General features: G+C 52.8%; 1 protein-coding gene across 12 annotated transcripts in view, besides 2 other annotated features; it reads right to left on the bottom strand.

The window, feature by feature from the left end:
- The window catches only part of RAB11FIP3 (RAB11 family interacting protein 3), a 97,363-nt gene that overhangs the window by 42,174 nt on the left and 39,874 nt on the right, over positions 1-15,315 (bottom strand). For 6 of the 12 annotated variants that reach the window (NM_001370401.1, NM_014700.4, XM_017023907.2 and 3 more), the window contains one exon: positions 9,449-9,543. In NM_001370401.1, coding sequence (NP_001357330.1) covers positions 9,449-9,543 — 95 coding nt within the window. Of the gene's footprint in view, positions 1-3,181; positions 3,336-5,739; positions 5,915-6,601; positions 7,026-9,448; positions 9,544-15,315 lie in introns of those variants that run through there. The other 6 variants (XM_005255714.2, NM_001142272.2, XM_011522764.3 and 3 more) reach the window with 5 other exon arrangements.
- Positions 13,340-13,968: an enhancer, noted in NCBI's record as "H3K4me1 hESC enhancer chr16:516870-517498 (GRCh37/hg19 assembly coordinates)". NCBI's record gives its function as "activates a minimal SCP1, AML or CMV promoter by ChIP-STARR-seq in naive H9 embryonic stem cells {active_cell/tissue: H9 hESC(naive)}" and the evidence as "EXISTENCE:reporter gene assay evidence [ECO:0000049][PMID:30033119]".
- Positions 13,969-14,598: an enhancer, noted in NCBI's record as "H3K4me1 hESC enhancer chr16:516240-516869 (GRCh37/hg19 assembly coordinates)". NCBI's record gives its function as "activates a minimal SCP1, AML or CMV promoter by ChIP-STARR-seq in naive H9 embryonic stem cells {active_cell/tissue: H9 hESC(naive)}" and the evidence as "EXISTENCE:reporter gene assay evidence [ECO:0000049][PMID:30033119]".

The raw sequence follows: 15,315 nt of genomic DNA, 5'->3' as shown, positions 1-15,315 counted from the left end.
ACTCTGTCTGAAAAAAAAAAAATTAAAATAAATAAATACAGGCCGGGCGCAGTGGCTCACGCCTGTAATCCCAGCACTTTGGGAAGCCAAGGCAGGCAGATCACAAGGTCAGGAGTTCGAGACCAGTCTGGCCAAAATGGTGAAACCCTGTCCCTACTAAAAATACAAAAATTAGCCAGGTGTGGTGGCGGGCACCTGTAGTCCCAGCTACTCGGGAGACTGAGGCAGAAGAATCGCTTGAACCCGGGAGGTGGAGGTTGCAGTGAATTGAGATCACGCCACTGCACTCCAGCCTGGGCGACAGAGCAAGACTCCGTCTCAAAAATAAATAAATAAATAAATATAATTAGCCAAGTGTGGTGGCACATGCCTGTAATCCCAACTACTCAGGAGGCTGAAGCAGGAGAATGGCTTGAACCTGGGACGCAGATTTTGCAGTGAGCTGATATCATGCCATTAAGCTCCAGCTTGGGCGACAGAGTGAGCCTCTATTTCAAAAATGAAAATAAAATGAATAAAACACAATTCAACTTTTTTTTTTTTTTTTTTTTGGAGAAGGAGTTTTACTCTTCCTGCCCAGGCTGGAGTGCAGTGGTGCAATCTCCAGTCACTGCAACCTACACCTCCCGGGTTCAAAAGATTCTCCTGCCTCAGGCTCCTGAGTAGCTGGGATTATAGATGCGTGCCACCACGCCACTAATTTTTGGGTTTTTAGTAGAGATGGGGTTTCACCACGTTGGCCAGGCCAGTCTCGAACTCCTAACCTCAGGTGATCCACCTGCCTCGGCCTCCCAAAGTGCTGGGATTACAGGCGTGAGCCACCGTGCCTGGCTGAATTCAACTTTTTTTTAAATGAAAAATAGGTACATGTCTGAGAGCAGAAAACAAGGTACTCTGAGTAATTTTTGTTGTTGTTGTTTGAGACAGTGTCTCTCTTTGAGACCCAGGCTGGAGTGCAATGGTGTAATCTCAGCTCACTGCAGCCTTGATCTCCTGGGCTCAAGTGATCCTCCCACCTCAGCCTCCTGAGTAGCTGAGACCACAGGTAAAAGCCACCATGCCTAATTTTTTGAAATTTTGTAGAAATGGAGTTTTGCCTTGTTTTCCAGGCTGTCTTGAACTCCTGTGCTCAAGTGATCCACCAGCCTTGGCCTCTCAAAGTGCTAGAACTATGGGTGTGAGCTACTGAGCCTGGCAGAGTAATTTCTTTTTTATTTTAATAAAATAGAGACAGGATCTAGCTGTAGCTGGGAACTACAGGTGCCACCACACCTGGCTCAGTTGTTTGTTTGTTTGTTGATTTATTTATTTTGAATCAGGGTCTCACTCTGTTGCCCAGGCTGGTCATCCACTCCGCACCTCAAGTGATCCTCCACACTGCTCAGATTACAGGTGTGAGCCATCGCAACCAATTGTTTTTACTGTTTTTACTGCTGTGTTTTTTTTGAGATAGAGTCTCACTGTGACACCCAGGTTGGAGTGCAGTCGTGCGGTCTTGGCTCACTGCAGCTTCAAACTCCTGGGCTCAAGCAATCCTCCTACCTCAGCCTCCTGAGTAGCTGGGACTATAGGTGTGAGCCACCACACCTCGCTGATTTTGTATTTTTTTGTAGAGATGGGGTTTTGCCATGTTGCTCAGGCTAGTCCCAAACTCCTGAGCTCAAGTGATCTGCCTGCCTTAGCCTCCCGAAGTGCTGGGATTATAGGCATAAGCCACCACACCCAACTTGTTTTTACTCTTAAGTATCTAGCATCTAGCATAGGACCAGGTATAGGTAGATAGTAAATATTTGTGGATCATACAAATGAACACAAAACTAAAGAACTATTAAACAGAACTTTTTTTTTCTTTTTCTAATTGTTCTTGTTTTTTGAGACAGGGTCTCACTCTGTCACCCAGGCTGGAGTGCAGTGGCACCATCTCAGCTCACTGCAACCTCTGCCTCCGGATTCAAGTGATTCTTGTGTCTCAGCCACCAAAGTAGCTGGGATTACAGGCATGCACCACTGTGCCCAGCTAATTTTTGTATTTTTTGTAGAGACGAGGTTTTGCTATGTTGCCCAGGCTGGTCTTGAACTCCTGGCCTCAAGAGATCTGCCCACCTCAGCCTCCCAAAGTGCTGGGATTATAGGCGTGAGCCACCGTGCCCAGCCAACATTTTCAATTTATAATTTCAACCTTAATGAAAATGAAATTGCTGGTTAGGAAAAGTGGCCAACATTTCATGCTCAGAAGACTCTGAGGTTAACAATTTGCAAATAAACAAGATCTCAGAAAAGCTGCAGTCCCAGCAGAAAAAGATGCCCTTTGCACTCTAGTTCTAGTATCGTAAGAAGCAGACAAAGTGGCTGGGCGCCGTGGTTAATGCCTGTAATCCCAGCACTTTGGAAGGCCGAGGCGGGTGGATCACAAGGTCAGGAGTTCGAGACCAGCCTAGCCAATATGGTGAAACCCCATCTCTACTGAAAATACAAAAATTAGCCAGGCGTGGTGGCACGTGCCTGCAGTCCCAGCTACTCGGGGGGCTGAGACAGGAGAATCGCTTGAACCCAGGAGGCAGAGGCTGCAGTGAGCCAAGATCATGCCACTGCACTCCAGCCTGGCAACAGAGCAAGACTCCATCTCAAAAAAAAAAAAAAAAGAAGTAGACAGTGTGCTAAGACCTGCGAGGGCTACCAGAGGGTCCCACCCCAGGCTGCACCCACCTGAGCCTCACTGGAAGAGACGTGAAGGGCCAGGCCGAGCTGCCAGGAGCCTGGCGCACTTGCGGGAGGCCGCAGTTCCATCTTTGGCCCCTTTATTAAAAGCCGTGTGACCTCAGACGTGTGACTCAACCACCTGGAGCCCTGCCGCAAACGGGGGTTATAAATTCTCGTCTCACAAGGTGGCCACCTCATGGAACCAAGAAAGACAACCCAGGAAGGTGCTTTTCAAAGCACAGAAACAAGGACTGCAGGGTGCGAGTGTCACTGGTGGGTGGGAAATCCCTGCCAGCTGCTTCTAAAGCCACAAGGGAACAGGGAGTGCTGTGAAGTGTACCTACTCTGGGTGTCCAATTATAATCTCCCCTACAATCTAAGGAAGTAATTCATAAAAACTAAGTCATTCCTCAAGAGCATCCACTGTAACATCCAGAACCAGGAGAGCACTGTAAGAAACCCCAGCTCTCGTGCTACTCACCGTCCCTGGGCAGCTCCCACTCCTGCAGGACGGCAGGGCCCAGGGCCCACTCAGGACAGGGCTGGCCTGTGCTGGGCCTGCGGGACGCCAGGCAGGAAAAGGCGGGAGTGGCCAGGAAAGCAGGCAGGCCCAGGATGTCTGTCAGAGGCTGGGCCTGTGGGGAAGGCATGACGGGGCAGGATGCGAAGCCCAGCGCACAGGTCCGAGACGGTTTGAGGGCAGTTGCCAGCTACCCCAACAGGATTGCACACTCACAGGGGCCACACTGCCCCAGAGTCATCAGTGACAAAGACTCACCCCAGGGGCACCAGGAAGACCCGCTGCTGACTCTAAAAAGTGTGGTTATTACAACATCAGGTTCAGTGGTTCAGTACGTAGCCTAAAATTTCTTTTTTCTTTTTTTTGATAGAGTCTCGCTCTTGTCGCCGAGGCTGGAGTGCAGTGGCGCCATCTTGGCTCACTGCAACCTCTGCCTCCCAGGTCCAAGCGATTCTCCTGCCTCAGCCTCCCAAGTAGCAGGGATTACAGGCGCCTGCCACAATGCCTGACTAATTTTTTTTTTTTTTTTTTTGAGACGGAGTCTTGCTCTGTCACCCAGGCTGGAGTGCAATGGTGTGACCTCAGCTCACTGCAGCCTCTACCTCCCAGGTTCAAGTGATTCTGCCTCAGCCTCCTGAGTAGCTGAGATTACAGGCACACGCCACCACACCCAACTAATTTTTGTATTTTTAGTAGAGACAGGGTTTCACCGTGTTGGTCAGGCTGGTCTCGAACTCCTGACCTTGTGATCTGCCCACCTTGGCCTCCCAAAGTGCTGGGATTACAGGCCTGAGCCACCATGCCCAGCCTAAAATTTTTTCTTTCTTTTTTTTTTTTTTTTGAGACAGAGTCTTGCTCTGTCGCCCAGGCTGGAGTGCAGTGGCGCAATCTCGGCTCACTGCAAACTCCACCTCCCGGGTTCAAGCAATTCTCCTGCCTCAGCCTCCCAAAGTGCTGGGATTACAGACATGAGCCACCGCACCTGACCTTGGACCAGCTTTTAAAAAGTCAATGGACTGGTACTTCTGACAGATGCCCGATGCCCTTCCCTGGCCAGTGTGGACCCTAAGTCCCCAACAGAAAGCATGATGTTTCTAAGAACAAACCCACACCTTCTCTCAAACAGCTCATGGAGCCCTGAGCAGAGCATCTGTCCTACGAAGGGAGGGAGGTCCGGGCAGTGGGGCCTGCTTATTTCACCAAGTTCCTGTTAGACCTGTAGCTGAGGATGGTGCCCCTGCAGGCAAAAGCCAGTGCCGCCTTAGAGCCACCTGTGCCTCCTCAGAGCTTAGACAGGATGGTTTGGGATGGAAAGAATTCTCCACGGACACAGGAACAATGAGGCAGATTCTACACAAACTCAGACTCCCTGTAAGCTGGATGCCAGGGCACCCTGCCAAGCCTGGAACTCACACGCTCCGCTCTGGACCCACCTTCACCTTCTCATTTCTAAAGTAAGCCTGAGGGCCAGACGCAGTGGCTCACTGTAATCCCAGCACTTTGGGAGGCCAAGGTGGGTGAATCACTTGAGGCCAGGAGTTCGAGACCAGCCTGGCCAATATGGTGAAACCCTGTTTCTCCTAAAAATACAAAAATTAGCTGGGTGTGGTGGCGGGCGCCTGTAATCCCAGCTACTCAGGAGGCTGAGGCATGGAATCACTTGAATCTGGGAGGTGGAGGTTGCAGTGAGCCAAGATCGCACCACTGCACTCCAGCCTGGGTGACAGAGTGAGACTCCATCTCAAAAAACAATTTAAAAAATAAAAAATAAAGTAAGCCGGGCCTCCCTGCCATTGCAGAGTGGCTCCGTGCACTGTAGATCCCACAGAGATGAACAGTTCCACTCCTCAGCGGCTTCGGTGACTGCACCCACCCCTTTATTTGCTCTGGGGTTGTGGACGTCCACTTCCATGCCATCGCCATCGATACTCAGAGCCCCTGGCCGGCTGGATGCCCTGGGGGTTCCAGACAGCTCATGAGGCTCACAGGAGCCACCCCACCTGCTCACTTCCCAATTCAGCCCTGCGGGTTGGTTTCTGCAGTTCAAGGCCTCCCTACATGGAGTTTTCCAGGGCAGCCATCACCTGCCTTTCCAGAGACAAAAATGTACCTCAGAGCACGGTGCCTGCTCACTCCCGGCCTCCTGGATAAAATGCAGTAACAGCTCACACCGGCCCCGGCAGTTTATTTTATTTGCCAGCCAGCCAGGACCTGGCCTTGCCCAGAAGCCATCAAGTCTATGCTACCAACTTTTTAACATTTTTACAAATTACCAATGTTAAGATGAACTCGCTTGAAAATCAAAGTGCATCTTGGAAAACGTCGCTATGTTGAAACGTTACATTCACTAATTAACAAGTCCCCTAAATCACCAGCGGACAGAGAAAAAGCCCGTTCAGGGCCATCAGTAACTCAAGTGGGGCCAACACTGTCCCCGTCACAGTTCCTTCTTCCCTGAGCCTCTCTCCACCACAGAAATAGGAATACTGGGCACAGTGCACACTACTGCCTCCTCTTACCCTCAGATGCTGGCCCGGGTGGCCTCACAGGCTGGGCCTGGCTCTGTACACACCTTCAGGAAGGGCATGCTGTTGGAGACCGGCTCCCCATCGTGTCTCCGTCCCAACCGGGTCACTGGCTTTTCTCAAACAACAATGTCACCTTCCTACTTGCTTGTCATGCTGGGGTTTCTGCAAAGCCTGTGCGCTCACCTGGAGGCACATCACCACCTAGGAGAAAGTTTAACCTGCTCCCAGACACGCTCTAATAAACCTCCTGCTGGTGTTGCCCAGGGAGGGGAAGGCAAAGTTCAGGAAGTGTCCTTGCTGGTTTAAAAAACGGTTAGTCAGTCAGGGCTGAAAACAGAGTGGCTTTTGTTTTTGGCTTCCTAAGCTGATAATGGTTTGCACAAAAGACACATTTCACTATCATTTCACTAAGGCAGCTCTTTGCTCCAGACATCGCCAGTAGTGGGAGAAGGAGGGAGGACGGGAGAGAGCGCGGCCCGACGATTCTGTGAGATGCGCCTTACACTCCCTGACTTTCCCTTCGCTCTTCCAGAAACCCGACAAACAGCCCCACCACCCCCTGGGCTCCACCTGCTCAGATCCTCAGACATCACCATGCCCAGGAACTCAGCGGCGCCACAGTCCATCCCCTTCTACTCTCCCCACTTACTCAGACACCATAGCAGCAACTTTCCCGTTATAAGCTGCCTGCTGAAAGGATCCCTGGGAAAACAGTGCGAGCCAGCAGACCCACTAGCTCGGCCATGACTAACTGCACATTTTACCCGACCACCCCGGTGTGAGCACTGCGATGCTCCCAGTAAAGAGAAATGGGTCTGACTGGAACCATTCAGAATATCAATCAATCAACCAATCAACCAATCAATCAAAGGTTTATTTACCTGAAGACTACCAGTGGAGGGTCCCCGAATAGGGTATCTGGATGGAACACATACTCCCTACTCATATCTTTATTAGACTTTTTTTTTTTAAGATGACATGATGTGCAAGCTGTTTTTTAAAAGAGCAAATTTTCCATAAGTTTCACAGTATCGAACTCCACTTTGTGGAAAATTACATCCCACCCTTAAAAAGCAAAGCAAGACATGGAGGAGAGGTAACTGCGTATTCACTAAGGGAAAGAGGCGCATCTGAAAAGGCTGCATGCCAGATGGTTCTAGCTCCGTGGCGTTCTGGAAGAGGCAGAGCTGTGGAGACACGGAGGATCGGTGGTTGTGGGGGCTGGTGTGAGGGATGAGCCGGCACTGAATCGACTCTGTGACACTATAATCGTGGACCTGTCAAAACACGGAATACACACCACCAAGAGTGAACCCTCAACTACGGACTTTGGCTAATACTAACATATCAGGCTGGGTGCGGTGGCTCACGCCTGTAATACCAGCACTTTAGGAGGCCAAGACGGGTGGATCGCTTGAACTCAGGAGTTTGAGAGCAGCCTAGGCAACACGGTGAAACCCCATCTCTACAAAAAAAAAATACAAAAAATCAGCTGGGCGTGGTGGTTACTGAGTGTGGTCCCAGCCACTGGAAAGGCTGAGAAAGAAGAACACTTGAGCGCAGGAGGCGAAGGTTGTGGTGAGCCAAGATCGAGACTGTACCACCACACTCCAGCCTGAGTAATAGAGCAGACCGTCTCAAACAAAACAAAACAAATAATCATGTAACGTGATCCCGGAATGCTCTACACTATGTTCCATTTTCTGTAAACCTAAAATTGCTCTAAAACATGAAGCATATTCATTTTTTTAAGTCAAAAAACTTTCTTCCATTCTAAAAAAGAAATCAGGATCTAAAAATATGAGAAGGATTAGCTCTGACATGTCAGGTTCCCACCCTTCTGAAGTGACAAGCGTGAGGCTCGGCCACACCCTTCAGACCACGTGGGCCTTTAAGGATAAAATGCACTGGTGCCTTTGGTGCCTCGAGTAACGTCACTCAAGGTTTCCCTGCCCAGGGCTGCCATAACGAACTAGCACAGACCACGGGGCGTGAAGAAACACCAGTTTATCCTCTCAGTTCTGGAGGCCCGAAGTCCAAAGCCAAGGTGTGAGCAGGGCTGGCTCCTGCCTAAGGCTCTCGGAGAGGATGCATCTTTGCCTCTGCTGGCTTCTGGGAGCCCCAGGAGTTCCCTGGCTCTGGTCAGTCTCTGCCCTGTCTTCCTATGGTCTTCCCCCTGTGTGTCTCTCCCGTCTTCCAGGGACACCTGTCACTGGATTTAGGGCCCAAACCAGCATGATATCACCTTGAGATCCTTAATGAACTACATCCGCAAAGACCCTTTTTCCAAATAAGGCCACATCCACAGCTGCTGGGTGGACATATCTTTTGAGAGGCCACTCTTCAGCCACTGCACCATACATAGGATATAAACAATCAACAATGCCCTAACAAACATGAGAGGGGAACAAAAAGACGGATACACGTGAGAAAGAGTGCACAGGCACATGAACGCCCAGGAACACACAGTTCCCCGGACGTTGCAGACCAAGGGCTCTGGGTTACCCTGCAGAGCCTTGGGCATCTCCTCGTGAAGAAGCCGGGTCCTTCTCAGGGCACAGGAGCCACCGTCTGTAGTCCTGGGGTCTCCCAGCACGTTCTGCACACTGCAGCCATGCGAGAGGGTCCAACTCCCACCACACGCCCTCTTAGCCAGCACCTCACTGCTGCCTCACGTGCAGAAAGAGCACACCAAGGCCAAACATGGGACCCACGGTGGGCGCCCTGGCCCCAGAAGCTGCAGCCCAGCTGATAACTGGGACACCGCCGTAAGGCAGAACCACCCCCAGGGTCTGTGTGGGCAGAAGTTAAGCTGCCCACCCAAGGGTGAGGGTGACTAATCCCTGGGGCAGCTTCTCGGAACAGGGAACTGAGTATAATACCATGGCTCCCACGGTACAGTGGCGTCCAAAAGCAACTCAAAAACTACCCTGTGCCAGCCTCAGCTTTCGAGGAGTCAGGGCTCAGAGGACTGACATGAGAAGCCCAGGCCCTACCGGCCAGCAGCTCAGCCCCACTTCTGGTACCCTTGCTCGGCAGCAGGCTGACCAGGACTGGCGGCTGCCACCTCCACCTTCCCGGCGGCCCCCAAGGGCTCAAGTTCAACTTCATGCATTTTCTGCTGCAGCCACGTGGCTCTCCTGGAATCTAACCCTCCAGACCGGCGGACATGGTTACGCTCTGTCGACCACGGCTGTGCTCGAAGACCCTCTCCCCAGCTATGTTGAGAACAAGGGACCCACAGTGACAGGAGACACAGGAGACGCCACGTCACCATGACAACCCTGGCTGCATCTGGGAGCAGGGTGGAGGACAGCCAAGCAGGGGCAGGCATTAGTCAGGCATCCCCAAACACAGAAAATCATTTGCAAGTTGACAAAAGGAATCCTCCCAAGCCCTCTGCTCCGCCTGTGCCTGCCAGCCTGGCAGCGGGTGGTCATGACATCACTGCCCACCCCACTTCTGCTGGCGACAGGCCCTGGGGGAGGATTCCTGCCCAGGCTGACAGGGCGTGTGGGACAGACAACTGTGGGCCTCCCGTCACAGCCACAGAGCCCCACGGTGCACACAGGGCGGGAGGCCCTTCCTTCACGCCAGCTTCTACGGAAGACAGCCCGGAGGCAGGAGGCACGAGCTGTAGGGCATAAAGGAAGAGGTGGATGCCAGACTTCCCCCAAGCTCCTGGGTGAAAACCACTTGCCTCATAGGTGACGAAGTCATCGAACTCGTCCGGGCAGGCCAGGGGCTCCTCATCTTGGGCAGAAGCGACACCACCGTAGCACTGGCCATCAGGATCTGCAGGGAGAAGACCTCGTGCTCAACAGGCCACCCATAGCCACCCAGTGACGGGACCCCTGGCGGCCTCGGGACTCCCTGGGAAGGAGGCCCCCAGGGACAGATGTGTGGGAGTTGGGGGCCCTGGGGGGGGTCAAGACAAGCAAGGGAGTGAGCATGAGAAATCCAGGGAGAGAAAACAGCCTTGCCAACGGGTCAGAGATGCGTTGCCCACAGGAACAAGGCTTCTGGAGAGAATTCTGAGGAGGAGATGCAGAGGTAGGAGATAAACTTTTTATTTCTTAAAAGAAGCAGACAGCACTGCAAAAAAAAAAAGAGCAAGACATTGAGCTCCATAAAACTGTCCATGGCCTTTAAAAAGTGTTAGGTACCAATCAGATTTAAACCTTTAAAAACATTTACATGAGAAGGTGTAGGTATGATGAAATAATACAAAAACAACATCTTTTCCTGGGTGCTGGGTTCACGCGCAGTTTTCATTTTATTTTCTTTTTTTGCTTATCTTCTATAATCAATGTTCTATGAGAAAAACTTTAAAGGAAAAGCTATCTTCTCATGAGAGACAGGCTATAATTCTTACGTCAGCTACAGTCATCACTTTGCAAACACAACCAATCCCGCAGCACCTGCCTCTCCTCCTGTAGGAAAAGGCACTGGCTTCCAGCGTCTCAGTGATATTCACAGGTCAAAGCACCTTCCAGGGCCTGTGAGTGACAGAAGACACTTAGGTGTCTTCACACTGTCTCACTATTAATTCAACTACTTGCCTAAAATAGACCAGCTACTTATAAAATAGCATTACTTAATACCTTTAACACAATCTATTCTAATGTCAATCACTTATTTTAAAAGTGAAGGTTGGGGCCAGGCACGGTGGCCTATGCCTGTAATCCCAGCACTTTGGGAGGCTGAGGCAGGTGGATTGCTTCAGCCCAGGTGATTGAGACCAGCCTGGGCAACATGGTGAAACCCCATCTCCACAAAAATACAAAAATTAGGTCGGGTGCAGTGGCTCACACTCGTAATCCCAGCACTTTGGCAGGCTGAGGCAGGAGGATCATTTGAGGTCAGGAGTTCAAGACCAGCCTGACCAACATGGTGAAACCCCATCTCTACTAAAAATAGTAAAAATTAGCTGGGCATAGTGGCGAACACCTGTAATTTCAGCTAATTGGGAGGCTGAGGCAGGAGAATCACTTGAACCTGGGAGGCGGATGTTTCAGGGAGCCGAAATCACACCACTCTGCACTCCAGCCTGGGCGACAGAGCAAGACTCCATCTCAAAAAAAAAAGAAAGAAAGAAAAGAAAAGAAAAAAATCAGCTGGACATTGTGGGACACACCTGTAGTCTTAGCTACTCTGAAGGCTTGAGCCAGGGAGGCAGAGGATGCAGTTGGCCAAGACTGCACCACTACATTCCAGCCTGAGTGACAGAGCAAGACCCTGTCTCGAAGAAAAAAGAAAAGTGGAGACCAGGCATGGTGGCTCACACCTGTAATCCCAGCACTTTGGAAGACTGACACTAGAGGATTGCTTAAGTCCAGGAGTTCAAGACTGGCCTGGGCAATATAGCAAAGATCCTATGTCTACAAAAAATAAAGATAAGGCCGGGTGTGGTGGCTCACGCCTGTAATCCTAGCACTTTGGGAGGCCGAGGCGGGCGGATCACTTAAGGTCAGGAGTTCTAGACCATCCCAGCCAACACAGTGAAACCCCATCTCCACAAAAACAATTAGCCAGGTGTGGTGGGGGCATGCCTGTAGTCCCATCTACTCGGGAGGCTGAGGCACAAGAATCACTTGAGCCTGGGAGGTGGAGGCTGCAGTGAGCTGAGATCATGCCACTATACTCCAACCTGGGTGACAAAGTGAGTCCCTGTCTCATAAATACATAAATAATACATTTAAAATAATAAAAAATAGGCCGGGCATGGTGGCTCACGCCTACAATCCCAGCACTTTGGGAGGCTGAGGTGGGCAGATCACGAGTTCAGGAGTTCGAGACCATAGTGGCCAACATGGTGAAAACCCGTCTGTACTAAAAATACAAAAATTAGCTGGGCATGGTGGTATGTGCCTGTAATCCCAGCTACTTGGGAGGGAGGCTGAGGCAGGAGAATAGCTTGAACCGGGACCCGGGAGGCAGAGGTTGCAGTGAACCAAGATCGCGCCACTGCACTCCAGCCTGGGCTACAGCGAGAGTCTGTCTCAAAATAATAATAATAATAATAATAAATTAAAAATTAAATTACATTTTAAAATGCTAACAGTCTTGCCTGCGCTTATAAACACTGAAACACAGAACTAAAAACTTTCAATATACAGCGAAGCATTTTGGACACAGCGCATGACAGCTCAGGTTCTGACAGTGGGCAAACAATCTGAGGGTCTTGCCCCAGAGGGCGGAGCAGGGGATATGAACACAGATGGCATTTTTATATTCTTGGTAGGACCTAAATACCATTCTCATATTAGTTTTCCTTATAAAAACTAAAACAATTTTCAATTAATTAGGAATTTTTCACGTGCGTTTCCCTTATTCTTCCAAAGCGTGAGGGTGTGTGAGACACAGCAATGGCCTATTTGGAACAATCCCTCTCTATCTCATTCTATTCCTGAAACAAGGCCTGTGGCTGTGACAGGAAAGCCTCCTTGTGCTTCCCAGCAAACTAGGCCAGCACATCCTGCTGGTCACTCCTCGACGCAGACAGGGCTGACAGACAACACAGGCTGCTGCAGCCACGATGGAGCTAACACCTGAAGTGAACTTTGGCTGAAGTGCGGTTTGGATGATCACATTTTCCTTTCTTCTAAATGCTATGAAATAATTCCAAAATCATCTTCGACTTCGTTTTATTCTAGTTTCACTCTCCTTCCGAACGAAACATAAATCATGACATCAAATTACTCAAAAGTAAAGCAGACCCCGCAGCCCCAGAGGCCATGTGTCCAATGCCATGGCAGCACCGCCTCCCTGACGCCCCAGGACCTCCTCCTCCCTGACGCCCCTGCACCTCCTCCCTGACTTCCCTGCACCTCCTCCCTGACGCCCCAGCACCTCCTCCCTGACGCCCCAGCACCTCCTCCCTGACTTCCCTGCACCTCCTCCCTGACGCCCCTGCACCTCCTCCCTGAGGCCCCTGCACCTCCTCCCTGAGGCCCCTGCACCTCCTCCCTGAGGCCCCAGCACCTCCTCCCTGACGCCCCTGCACCTCCTCCCTCACTTCCCTGCACCTCCTCCAACGCCCCTGCACCTCCTCCCTGACTTCCCTGCACCTCCTCCAACGCCCCTGCACCTCCTCCCTGAGGCCCCAGCACCTCCTCCCTGACGCCCCAGCACCTCCTCCCTGACGCCCCTGCACCTCCTCCCTGACGCCCCTGCACCTCCTCCCTGAGGCCCCTGCACCTCCTCCCTGACGTCCCAGCACCTCCTCCCTGAGGCCCCAGCACCTCCTCCCTGAGGCCCCTGCACCTCCTCCCTGACGTCCCAGCACCTCCTCCCTGAGGCCCCAGCACCTCCTCCCTGACGCCCCTGCACCTCCTCCCTGAGGCCCCTGCACCTCCTCCCTGAGGCCCCAGCACCTCCTCCCTGACGCCCCTGCACCTCCTCCCTGACGCCCCTGCACCTCCTCCCTGAGGCCCCAGCACCTCCTCCCTGAGGCCCCAGCACCTCCTCCCTGACGCCCCAGCACCTCCTCCCTGAGGCCCCAGCACCTCCTCCCTGACGTCCCAGCACCTCCTCCCTGAGGCCCCTGCACCTCCTCCCTGACGCCCCCGCACCTCCTCCCTGACGCCCCTGCACCTCCTCCCTGACGTCCCAGCACCTCCTCCCTGAGGCCCCTGCACCTCCTCCCTGACGTCCCAGCACCTCCTCCCTGAGGCTACTGCACCTCCTCCCTGACGCCCACTCCACTCTGCAGTCAGCTCTGCAGTCAGCTCAGTGTCCCACCCCTCACACCAGCTCTCAGGGATGCCCCACCATCCTCTTCAGGAGCCTGGAGCTGGAGACAGAATTGTGAGGCCTGCCTCTCACCTGCTCCTTCTGACCCTGCCTCCCTGTGGCCTCCAAACATGCCAGGTGCAGCCCTGCTGGGATGCTGCCTTCCCATCCCAGACGTTCTCAGGGAGGCCTCCCCACTCCTCTGCCTCCCTAGCTCCTGCCTTACTTTGTGGTCTGTCTCCCACTAGAAAGCCAGCTCCCAAGGGCAGGGGTTCTGCACTGCCGTTTCGTGCTACGTCCCAGAGCCTGGAACAGGCTGGTTCGACAGCACTCACGGGCCCGTTGCCCCATGTGTCCCCATCCATGGTCCTCACAGGTGCCAGCCGTGCTCTCCCTCGGCTGCAGCCACCTCCACCAGCCTGGCTCAAGCTCTAATGCAGTGAGATAGGAGAGCCCTGGCCGGCTCACGATGACTAGCTCACCGCCCTCTCAAGCAGACAGGCGCAGGAGCCCTCCCAGGCCCATCTGTCAGCTGCTGGGAAGGAGAACGGGGTGCCCCAGCTGCTGTGGGATTGGCCCAGGTGACAGCAAAGAGAGAAGGGGACGGTGTCTGGGAGAAGGCCCCAGCTTGGCGTGTCAGGTGGCTGGGCAACCACTAAGAAACATCTGGAGATGGGCTGTCCTTGGACGATCACTCTCTCACCCCTTCAGTCACTAAGCCAAGACACCGGCAACCACAGGCAGCCACAGTCCACAGCTGGCAGCCCCCAGGCTTCCCAGACAGAGCATCGGGCTCCTCCGAGGGCAGCAGGCCAGGCTAGAGGCTTCATTTTGCTTGGTGGGCATCTCCCACACCCTGACTCCTGAGCTGAGAGTGGGCACCTTCCAAGCCAAGGCCTCCCAGGAACCCCTAGAGCTGAGCTTGCCCCATTTCACGTTAGCCATGGTCCACAGGAACAAACCAACCCCTACCCTGACGACAGAATCGTGGACCCAGGTGGCTCCCTCCTGCCCATGTCATGGTACCCGGGGCCACTGCTGTTCCCAGCCTTGACCCTGCAGAGGGATCTGAGCACTTCACCTGTCCAAACCTACAAAAGACCCGTCTTAACTCTCCATGACAGGCTGTGTCCCTGACTCCCGAGGGAACACATCTCCAGCCCAAATCTCCTGCAGGCTGCCCTCAGTCACAGGCCCAGGAACACGCTCTGCCAGCCACATTGTGCAGAGCAAGTTTACCCTATGACAAGCCGAGACCAGCACAGCCAGTGACTGGCCAGGGCCCTGAGTGCTCTGAGTCTTTGTGGCACCGAGGAAATGGGTTGTAACATTTATAACAAGACCAGCAGTCACAACAAAGAATTCCTGGTTTTATTCAAAATGCGTGGAGTTACAGTCCTGTTCCCTGTGATTTCATACACGTGCCTGTCACTAGAAAATGAACCACTGCTGGCCGGGCGCGGTGGCTCACGTCTGTAATCCCAGCACTTTGGGAGGCCGAGGTGGGTGGATCACCTGAGGTCAGGAGTTCACGACCAGCCTGGCCAACATGGCAAAACCCCATCTCTAACACAAAAAATTGGCCAGGTGTGGCAGCGCGAGCCTGTGGTCTCAGCTACTCGGGAGGCTGAGGCAGGAGAATCGCTTGAACCTGGGAGACGCAAGTTGCAGTGAGCCGAGATCACACCACTGCACTCTAGCCTGGCCGACAGAGCGAGACTCCATCTCAAAAGAAAAAGGAGCCAGTGCTGAGAGGCCGTGGCTACTGACAGGCCGCCCACACTCCCCTCTAAGCTCGCATCTACTTCCCTCTGTTTTGCCAAACAGTCCCCA

Source organism: Homo sapiens, chromosome 16 (genome assembly GCF_000001405.40).
Source record: "Homo sapiens chromosome 16, GRCh38.p14 Primary Assembly".
NCBI classification, from domain to species: domain Eukaryota; kingdom Metazoa; phylum Chordata; class Mammalia; order Primates; family Hominidae; genus Homo; species Homo sapiens.
This window is presented reverse-complemented; position numbering and strand designations above follow the sequence as displayed.